The following is an 11,578-nucleotide window of genomic DNA, read 5'->3' as shown; positions in this document are numbered from 1 at the left end:
GGAGAGCTTGTGAACTACCTAATATTTTTTAATAAATTCATTTACCGCTTAGATTAACTACAAATTGTTTCTGTTGCTTGCGACCGAAAACATTTACTAATGTACCTATTATTTTTTTTAAAAATCATGCACTTGGAGATTATATATATATACACACACATATGTTTTTAAGGGAAAAAAACTCCCCTTCCCTTTGTTGATCCCTTATTTTCCCAGTTTCTTCTCTGGAGGTAGTAATAATGATTTGTTTCTTATGTATTCCTCCAGAGATATCTTGTGTGTACACAAGCACATCTATGTATTTAAGAAAAGTTACTTAAAAATCACTCAAATAGGATCACTCCATATACACTGTTCCATAATTTGCTTGTAACCTTAAGACTACATGTTAGAGATAATTCCATAAATATAAAGCTGCCTCATTCTTTTTCTTATTTTTATTTTTAGAGACAGGTCTTGCTCTGTCTCCCACGCTAGAGTGCTGTGGTGTGATTATAGCTCACTGCAACCTCTAACTCCTGAGCTCAGGGGATCCTCCTGCTTCAGCCTCCCAAGTAGTTGGGACAACAGGTACGTGCCACCACTCCTCGCTAATTTTTTATTTTTTGTAGAGTCAGGCCTTGCCATGTTGCCCGGGCTGGTCTCGAACTCCTGGCCTCAACTGATCTTCCCATCTTGGTCTCTCAAAGTGCTGGGATTACAAGTGTGAGTGACTGTGCCTGGCCTGCCTCATTCTTTTTATTGGCTGCTTAATATCCCTCTGAATGAATATACTGTAATTTATGTAGCCAATTTCCTCCTGTAAGCAGTTGGGTTGCTTACAGTTTTTGTGACTACAAATAATGCTGCAGTGAATATCGTTGTAAATATGTATTTTTAAAAAAATATGGAATGCTTCATGCATGTCATCCTTGTGCAGGGGCCATGACAATCTTCTCTGTATCCTTCCAATTTTAGCATATGTGCAGCTGAAGTGAGCAAGTAAATATGTCTTAATGCCCAGTGCAAGCAGATACATGTCTGATAGGGAAGTTGCAGCGTCAAAAGGTAAATGTAACTTTAACATTTTGATAGATAGCACCAAAATGCACTGCAAATTTAGTAACAATTTTTAATCCTACTAAAAATATTTTAGACTCCCCCCCACCAAATCTTTACGTCACCAGTGTATATTATCAGATTTTATAATTTTGCTGTTCTAATAGGTGAAAACTGATTTTCTCATTGTTCTGATTTTCATTCTTTAATTTATGAGTGAGGTTGAACATTTTTCATGTATTTAAAAGCCATTTGTAAGTATTCACCTGTGTAGTATATTCATGTCCTTTGCCTGTTGTTTTCTATTGGATTTTTATCTGTGTTTAATTGCTTTGTAAAAACTTCATCTTTTTTTTTTTTTTTTTTGAAATAGGTTCTTGCTTTGTCACCCAGACTGGAGTTGCAGTCTGGCACCCTCCTGACTTGGCCTTTTTTTTTTTTTTTTTTTGAGACAAAGTCTCACTCTGTTGCCTGGGCTGGAGTGCAGTGGCGCAATCTCAGCTCACTTCAACCTTCGCCTCCCAGGTTCGAGTGATTCTCCTGCCTCGGTCTCCCAAGTAGCTGGGATTACAGGCATGTGCTACCACTCCCGGCTAATTGTTTTGTATTTTTCGTAGAGATGGGGTTTCACCATGTTGGCCAGACTGGTCTTGAACTCCTGACCTCAAGTGATCTGCCTGCCTCGGCCCCCCACAGCACCCAGCCCTGCCTCAGCCTTTTAAAGTGCTAGGATGACAAGTGTGAGCCACTACACCTGGTCAAAATTCCATATTTTAAAGTAAATTTGCCTTTTGTCATACTTGTTGCAAAATTTTTTCCCAATTTGTTTTTGGTTTTCTGATCTTTTTAAATTTGATCTGATTTTTGGTTTTTGCTTTGCATAAATCTTTAATTTTCACAAAGCCAAATTTGTCTATATTTTTGCTTATGGCTCTGGATTTGTTTGGAATGGCTTTTGGCTGGGTAGCTTCTCATGGTTTCAACATTGAAGCTGCTAATTTAGAAAAACAATACTTGAGACTTCTGGTTAAAGACAGCAGATTAAACACATGCTCCACTCCCTCCTAGAACTCAACCAAAATTTAATGTTTTGATTAAGTGATACATTCACATGGTTTTAAAACCAGAAAAATACAAAGATGCACAGCCTGAAACGTTTCCCTCATCTATGTCTCCCATCAGCTCAGTTTCCACTTTCTCCCTGTCCAGAAATAAGGACTGTTATGCTTTCTTATGCGTGTTTCCAGAGTTTCTTTATGCATATGTAAGCAAGTAAGAATTTTGGTGAGTTTTTTTTAAGGAGAAACCTACAAGGACAAAAGAATATAAAAAGGACAAGAGTAAGAAAGATAATTTTAAAAGCTGGAACATAAGGCCGGGCACAATGGCTCACGCCTATAATCCCAGCACTTTGGGAGGCTGAGGCAGGTGGATCACTTGAGGTCAGGAGTTCAAGACCAGCCTGGCCAACATGGTAAAAACCCATCTCAACTAAAAAAACAAAAATTAGCCGGGCATGGTGGCGGGTGCCTGTAGTCTCAGCTACTTGGGAGGCTGAGGCAGGAGAATCACTTGAACCGGGAAGGTCGGGGGTGGGGGTTGCAGTTAGCCGAGATTGCACCACTGTACTCCAGCCTGGGTGACAGAGTGAGACTGCGTCTCAAAAAATAAATAAATAAACAAATAAAAGCTAGAACATAGATGAATGAGTGGTAACTGAATCAAGAGACCTGAGAAAGCTGAATCCTAAGCCTGCAGATGAGAAAGGTAAAGCAACTCACTTTACATTTCAGAATCCCCCAAATGCTCAGCAATTGGTGGCACCAGGTACTTTTGGAAATAAGGGTGAAGTTGTGGCTAAAAACAGTAAGTTGCATTGAAAATCAGTTCAGGAAACAATGAAAGCTCCAGGCCCCCTCTTCCTCTTGCTGTTAGATGGATTGCCCCTTCCCCACGATGTCCAAGAATGGAGGTTTTTCTGGTGGGAGAGTAAGACAGAGAAGGGACAAGGCACTATTGTGTGAAAGGACAACATGCTGGGAAAAAACAGGAGATTATAAGCCCATTGCCTTCTGCCATCTTCTCTTACTTAGGAAACCCTGACAGCCAGCCTGAATATTAGGAAAGCCTTCTCTGAAACCCTGACACACTGGAGAGAAATGCTCCAAAGATAACTCAGAAATGACAGCATCTCTGAAAGAAAAAGAAAACAAGAAGTATTAATAATATCTCCAGAGAAATAAGAGAACTAGTGCATATATGAAATAAGAACAGAATGCTATGTTTTAAAAGGAACATTCAGAGAACAAAAAAAACTTAGAAATTTAAATATGATAGCAAAAATATAAAAAAGCTTAGTAGATTTGGAAAGTAGAAGGGAAAGCAGAAAGATAACAGATAGAAAATAAAAAATATGGCCGGGCGCGGTGGCTCACGCCTGTAATCCCAGCACTTTGGGAGGCCGAGGCGGGCGGATCACGAGGTCAGGAGATCGAGACCATCCTGGCTAACACGGTGAAACCCCGTCTCTACTAAAAATACAAAAAATTAGCCGGGCGTGGTAGCGGGCGCCTGTAGTCCCAGCTACTCGGGAGGCTGAGGCAGGAGAATGGCGTGAACCCGGGAGGCGGAGCTTGCAGTGAGCCGAGATCGCGCCACTGCACTCCAGCCTGGGCGACAGAGCGAGACTCCGTCTCAAAAAAAAAAAAAAAGAAAAGAAAAGAAAAAATATAAGAGCAAAATTAGTTTATTTGGGAGATGACCCCAGTAAACATCTGTACGGGAGTAAAGTAACGAGAAAAGGATCCTACGGAAGTTAATATATCTTTTTTTTTTTTTTTTTTTTTTTTTTTTTTTTGAGACGGAGTCTCGCTCTGTCGCCCAGGCTGGAGTGCAGTGGCGGGATCTCGGCTCACTGCAAGCTCCGCCTCCCGGGTTCACGCCATTCTCCTGCCTCAGCCTCCCAAGTAGCTGGGACTACAGGCGCCCGCCACTACGCCCGGCTAATTTTTTGTATTTTTAGTAGAGACGGGGTTTCACCGTTTTAGCCAGGATGGTCTCGATCTCCTGACCTCGTGATCCGCCCGCCTCGGCCTCCCAAAGTGCTGGGATTACAGGCGTGAGCCACCGCGCCCGGCCGGAAGTTAATATATCTTGCAAGTTACTGTGAACCAGTGGAACTTGACTCCATCGGGGAACTCTGGGAGACCTGTGTAGAAAGCATGCTTCAGGGTTAAACCGCCTCATGGTTGAGCAAGCTGGGATATTTATCTACTAACTCTCATCAGTCATTGGTTAAGGGTCTCTCCCAGGGAAAAGGGGGTTAATTCCCCAGCACTTCCTGAGCAAACTTTCAGTAGCTAGAAAAAGCCCTCAGGCAAACAGACATATGTGCTGGCAGTTTTGAAGGCCTGGATGTTAAGTGCCAAGAGAATTTGGGCAGGGCACTGATGGCAAATGTTATATCTTCCCTGCACTCTCTCTTAGGAAACTACTGAAGAATGTGCTCCACCAAAACAGTGTTGTGAGTCAAGAAAGAGGAAGAGGCGGAATTCAGGAACCAGAGCACTCAACACAGAGGTGAAGAGAGTCCCCAGGATGTGGGTAAAGGGAAGTCCCAAGATGACAGATGCACAGCAGGCCTAGAGGTCAGTTAGCCCAGAGAGGAGCAGATCAGTAGGCTCTGGAAGAGCTCTCTTCCAGATGAAACTGATGGAATACCAAGTTTGTTTGGACATATTGAGAGGAGACTTAAACAACTACAGAGGAGTATGGATTAAATTAGTGGCATATGCATAGAAAAACTAGGCAAATGAAAAATGAGACAATTATTAACTCCAGAGAAAGCAAAATAGTTTTGAAGAAAGTGATCATAATTTATTATGCAACACAGGTGTGAATAGTATTTATTTGATCATAGTAATATAAACACTGAGTGTCAGTTTAATAGTGACGTAGAAATATAGGCCCATGTGGTATAGGAAGAGGCGAAAACTGAATCCCCATCTTCCACAGTGGAAAGTCAATAGAGAAAACTAAGAGGTAGCTATTTAGAGATACAATGATTTCCCTCCTCCCCCTAAAAAAAGATTTAGTGAAAGCATTGAAAGTGATTTCCTCTGAGGAGTGGGAAATGAAGGGGTGGAGTAGGGGAATGCTGTTTCTTGTAATTAGTAATTTAGAAATATTCGATTCTTTAAACTATGTGCATATTTAACTTTGATGTTTAAAAAAACTAAATAAAACTCAGTAATTTTTTTCCTTTGCTGTATGAAAAAGGGAGGAGGTGAGATGGAAAATGTACCTCATTCCTAGCTGATAAGAAAACTGGGCAGGCAAAATGAAACTTGCTTGTTCCATGAGTCCATCAACCCAGCAGGGTCAATGTCTTTTCCATCTTCTTCAGTCAGAAGAAAAGCTATGAGCAACTGGGAAATCAAAACTGAAATTCCTTTGAAAGAGCCATTGATGCCAAACTGACCTGAAATCTGGGGCTACCCTAAGAGGGCTTTGGCCTAAATAAATGGTCCAGGGTAAGTACAAAGAAAGGATTCTATCAAATGCAAAAATGAGACCAGGATTATATTAAGGGAGCTAGTAACAGCACTTGAGTGCAAGTAGAATACATTCTTAATTATGTCTAGTATGAATTTCTTTAAATTCTTTAAAAGCCAGTTGTTTTAAAATACAGAAATTAAAAATATTACTATATTGATTTATAGTTTTAATTTTAAAAACCATGGGAGTACTTTGTACAGTCTTTTAATTAACCGTATCTATGACTGAAATTGCACATCGTTTAGGTCTCTGGCCCGATCATGATACCAGAGTCTGTTACTTTCTGATTGCAGGCAAAATAACTACAGGAATGAGGCCTCCTGAAGGCAGAATCAGTTCTCCTTTCTCTTCCTGCCTTCAATCTTTACCTACTAGATCCTTCTCCTCAGCCTAGAAAAATGCCCAAAAAGTTCCAATCTAAAATAAAAATAAAGAAGGAATTCTCACTTAAGCTATCACCCAAACTTTCTCTTTTCCTTCATCATAATACTTCTAAAAAAATACGCTAACTTCCTTTTCTTCCTTTACTTCCTCACCACATACTACTTCTTAACTCCTTGTAATCTAGCTTTCACTTTGACCGTTGCACTGAACCTGCTGTCTCAGAGGTCTCAAAGGACTTCTTACTTGCTAAATTTCGGTCCTGCTTAGCCCTCATCCTCCTCAACCTCTCTGTTTTTGACTTTCAAAATGTCTCACTGTGTCTCTCTCTGTTGCTCTGTCTCTCTCTCTTCTCTCTGTCTCTCTCACCCACCCACCCTCTAGCCCCCTTATTCTGTGTTATTCCTCTCTTTTGGTTTTCTCTCCTCCCTTATTATTCTTCCTTTGAGTCTTCTGTCCCGCTCATTCTCTTAAGAATAGGCATCCAATGAGATCCCATGACTCCCTGCAATATCTGGGATCTGCCTATGTCTCCAAACTCATATGCACCCTGTTCCCCCTTGTTCATTTCACTCCAGTCACACTGATGTTTCAGTTCCTCTAATGGGCCAATGAGCTCTTTATTACCTTAGGACCTGCTCTCTCTACCTGGGACACTCTTCCCCATGTTCCCCCACACCCAAAGCGCTTCATCTGGCTATTTCCAAATCAACTTTCAGGTCTCAGCTTCATATTACTTCCTCAGAGTGGCTCTCCCTAAGTGCATCCCCTCCCCACCCCTCCAAATTAAATCTGTTTCCCCATTTTTTCTATTTTAGAAATAGTTTTTTTATCAAATTATTATATGGTTTAAAATGAAAGACTACTTGTGTGTTTATTTGCTTAAATCTCTACCTTTCTCTCCAGAGTGTAATTTCCATGAGGACAGGAACCATGTCAGTTTTGTTTAACACTGTATCCTTAGCATTCAACACAGACCTTGAAGCAGCAGACAACAAATATTGGTTGAATAAATGAGTGAACGAAGTGCCAGGCACTACAGTAAGTACTTCTTCCTGCCAGGCGCTATGGCAAGTACTTTACATATATCACCTCGTTTTTATTCTTACCACAACCCTATGCATAGGTACTACTATCAGATGAGGAAATGGAAGCTTACAGAGACAGACCAATATGCCCAAAATCTCACAGAAAAATGAATGTAGCTATCACGACGTGAAAAGATGTAGAGGAACCTTAACTGCAGATTATTAAGTTAAAGAAGCTAATCTAAAAAGCCTTCATACTGTATGATTCCAACTATGTGACATTCTGGAAACAGCAGAACTATAGAGACAGTAGAAAGGTCAATAGTTGCTGGGGGTTGTCCTCGGGAGGGATGAAGAGGCAGAGCACAGAGGATTTTGAGGAACGAAAATACTCTGTATGATATATAATAGTGGATACGTGTCATACATTTGTCCAAACCCATAGAATGCACGATGCCAAGAGTGAATCCTAATTGACACTACGGACTTGGATGGTGATGATGGGTTGATGTAGGTTCATCAGCTGTAAAAAATGTACCACTCTGTGTGGGGATGTTGATAATGGAGAGGGCCTTTGCATGTGTGGGGACAGGGAGTATATGAGAAATTTCTATTCTTTCTGCTCAATTTTGCTGTGAATCTAAAACTGCTCCAAAAAATAAAATATTTTAAAAATGAGTGTCAGAGGTAGGATATGAAAACATTTGTTTGACTCTATGTAGGGCTTAATTATAATATTATACTGCTTCCCAGTTGACAAATCTAATACTTTCACCGTCCAAAACTTCCCTCACACTTACTTCCTGTTGTCTGTTTCTATGGTTTCTCTTGAGTCCTCCTTCCAGGATCCATTCCAAGCCAGACAATGGTATGTGGGTGAGAAACTGTGGTCATGGAGGAGACTGGACAGACCGGAAAGCTTTTCTTTTCTAACACATGTTTCTGAGGAGCCCTCAGGAAGCCTGTGAACCAGGAAAACCACGGTGATGGTCAATGCTCTGACAGCTCCCCTGCCCCTTTCTCCATGCTCTTCTCCTGCCGTGCCTTCCCCAAGGCTGTGGGTTGCTCCCCACTGTGCTGCTCCCCTTGGGCCTTCTCTCCCTGCCCACATATGCATGTGCCAGCCCTTTCCCCTCACAAAAATGTCAACATAGAATGGTAAGTAGAAAAAAAATAAGATGCAATATCGTACAAATAGTTGTTATGGGTTGAATTGTGTCCTCCCAAAATTGATATGTTGGAGTCCTAACCCCCGTTACCTCGGAAGGTGACCTTATTTGGAAATAAGGTTGTTGTAGGTATAATCAATCAAGTTAAGATGAGGTCATAATGAAGTAGGAGGGAACTTAATTCAAAATGACTATTATCCTTATTAAAAGAATGCCATGTGGAGAGACAGACATGCACCAAGGATACTGCCATGTGGAGAGGAAGGCAGAGACTGGGGTGATGCAGCAGAAGCTGAGAAACACCAAAGACTTCCAGAAAAACAGCAGAAGACAGGAGAGAGGCCTGGGACATATTCTTTCTCACAGTCCTCACTAAGAACCAATTTGCCAACACCTTGATCTCAGACTTCTAACCTCCAGAACCGTGAGACAGCAAATTGCTGTTACTTAAGCCACTCAGTTGTGGTACCTTGTTATGGAAGTGCTAGCAAGCTCATAGAAATAACAGAATCCTGATCTTGTAAAGCAAAATAAACTCATGTATTACGGGTTATCATCTTGCATACGCACATACACATATACATAGATGAACACATAGAAACAATGAAAGGCAATATATTTTAAAAGTTATCAATACTTCTTTGGGGATAATGGATGCTGAGTAATTTTGCTTTGTACTTTTCTCTGCACCTTTGGGTATTTTCTCAGTTATCTTACCTCTCTACAATATTATGCATTATTACCTAGACCAGCGGTCCCCAACCTTTTTGGTACCAGGGACCTGTTTTGTGGAAGACTATTTTTTCCACAGGTGGGGCAGCAGTGGGGATGGTTTCAGGATGAAACTGTTCCACTGCAGATCATCAGGCATTAGATTCTCATAAGGAGCATGCATCCTAGATCCCTTCCATGCACACTTCACAATAGGGTTTGTGCTCCTATGAGAATCTAATGCTTCCACAGATCTGACCAGGAGGTGGAGTTCAGGGGGTATATGGCCTGGTTCTTAACAGGCCATGGACTAGTACCTGTCCATGCCCCGGGGGTTGGGGATCTCCGACACAGACAGATCCCCAGACCTCAGTTTCCTCATCTGTAATTTGAGAATAGTTATACCAATCTTCCAGCATTGTTGTGAGGAATAAAGTGCCTGACACAAATAATAGGTCAGTGGGTCTTCCTAGAATAGGGAGAGCAGCTCCAAAGAAGTAAACCTGGACAGACCTCTGTACCTCTATTCATCATCAGGCTTCAGTGTTGCTGCTAAGCAGGCATGCGGATGCTGCTCAGCACTGGCCTCCCTGTGTGGTAAGGGTGGGTGTGCAGAGATGAGATGGCACAGGGGAGCTAGCTGGATGTCTTGGGTTTGGGAAGGTCAGCAAAGAAAGGTAAGAGAGGGTGAAAGTTTGATTGAAGAATGTTGGCTATGTAAGGACAACTTAACCCATTGGGGTAACATTTCTTAGTTTGGGTTGGGGTCCAATGGGGCAACTGAAAAGGAAAAAGGAACCAAGAGAATAGAAAGCATAGCCAAGAAGCCCAACAATCCCCTCCTACAGGAAGAATGCCTTGCCTCCTCATTTCTTCTCTGAAACCCCTCTGGAAATGGGAGTGGACAATGTAACTTACTTATCATTTTCCACAGCCCATGGGAAGGTGTTCTTTCCCCAGGAGGAATGTTTCCCAAACAGCCCTCCTTCTGGCCTTATCTGTGATAAGTTGTTCTTTTCTGGGGACTGTTTGGGTATCCTTGACTCTGACATACTCAGTAGGGCAGGTTAATTCTCTTGAATCTTAAATTTAGCCATCTGTGACTTCATATTAATCTTTGGTCTCCAAAAACATTGGGCTGTTTTGCCTCTTTCTACTCACTTATGTCTTCTTTATCTTAATTCCAAATCCCAGCAACTCAGAGAAGAAATGGGTCCTGCAAATGATATTCACAATCTATTGCTTTATGGGAGGTCAGTGAAGGCCTTTCCCATTTACTTTGTTAAAATCTATATCTATTTTCATTCCTAATTTTTTATCTGCAAGATTATGTAGCAACATGGGAAACATTTATAATATTAAATAGTGAAAGAAGGGGACACAAAAATTGCATGTAAATTATGATTCTATTTGAAAAAAAGACTGAGCAAATAGACAATCAAAAAGACATACACACATACGAGAAAAATAAAACTGGAAGAAAACAGAGCAAAAAATGAATAATGACTATGGTAAAGTGCTGGAATTGTGGATTTTTTAAATTCTTCTCTATTTACCTAAAAATTTTAAGGTAATAAGAAAATACTTTTATAATTAAGAAACAGACTTACTAAAATAAAGTAGGGGCAGAAATGAGGAACAAAGTTTGCTAAAATAAATAAAACAGGAAAGCTTGTAGATAAGGTTTTATGGAAGTAAATATACGTAGCTCCCAGCTTAGTGTGTGTGAGCTGATGGAGAAACACGACTACAGAGCTCTTATGGAAAGCATTTAACCATTTGTCACCCTTGCAGTCTACTTCAAGAGTGACTAAAAGGAAGAACAACATGAGGAAGACTTCAAATGTGTTGAGGATTTGAGAAGAGGGGCTAGAAGTCCAGGCATGTTAGAGGTTTGGGGGCTGTAGAGAGATACTGTAGAAGTTACTAAATTGGGGGTTTTATGGGAAGTGCTTCAAGCATGACATTGTGAGGCTATGATACTGTTTATTTTTAGAAGTCCTGTTGAGAGGAGTATCTTTCACCTCTCACTAAATTAGCTATGCTCCTTGGAACCATGGACATCTTTCTGCTGTAGCAGCAATAGGATCAAAGCACGTGTTTAGAAAGAGAAGTGAAAAACACCAGATGTGAGCAAAACCACAAGGGGAATTTCAGACAGGCAGCATGCACCAGATGACCCAATTTGGAACGTGGCCCAGGCCCCAGGACAGGCAGACCCTGTAAGGATCAGGCTGGACAGTCAGAGGTTATTGATCCCGATTTAAGCCAAATGTTGCTAAAACTTGATCTGTGACCTTGCTTAAGCCATTGACCTCCTCTAAACCACTTTCACCATCTGTAAAATGCAAGGACTGTGAATTTCCTCTCAGGAATAGCTAATGGAAACCATGCTAAAAAGTAGAGATAAGAATGAAGCACGATCTTGCGATCTTGAACAATGGTGGTAAATTGTATTTGATTATATAAATACCACAACATACACACACTTACAGTGTATAGATGCGCACACTTTATGAGAAGAATGTGTATAAAAAACATAGAATTGGCCGGGCGCGATGGCTCATGCCTGTAATCCCAGCACTTTGGGAGGCCGAGGCAGGTGGATATCTTGAGGTTAGGAGTTCCAGATGAGCCTGGCCAACATGGTGAAACCCCGTCTCTCCTGAAAACACAAAAATTACTGGGGCATCC

The 11,578-nt window shown here is 41.2% G+C and overlaps 1 long non-coding RNA gene and 1 pseudogene across 1 annotated transcript; one reads left to right on the top strand and one right to left on the bottom strand.

The window, feature by feature from the left end:
* On the bottom strand, positions 881-981 carry RNU6-1171P (RNA, U6 small nuclear 1171, pseudogene; annotated as a pseudogene).
* LOC105371222 (uncharacterized) lies at positions 3,935-8,799 on the top strand. The gene is made up of 3 exons (XR_922062.4): positions 3,935-4,617; positions 5,444-5,570; positions 6,883-8,799. It is a non-coding gene; the product is annotated as an uncharacterized LOC105371222 (long non-coding RNA).
* The last annotated feature ends 2,779 nt before the right edge of the window (positions 8,800-11,578 follow it).

This window comes from Homo sapiens, chromosome 1 (assembly GCF_000001405.40).
Source record: "Homo sapiens chromosome 1, GRCh38.p14 Primary Assembly".
NCBI classification, from domain to species: Eukaryota; Metazoa; Chordata; class Mammalia; order Primates; family Hominidae; genus Homo; species Homo sapiens.
Note: the sequence above shows the minus strand (reverse complement) of the source record. Positions and strands in the feature narration are given on the sequence as shown.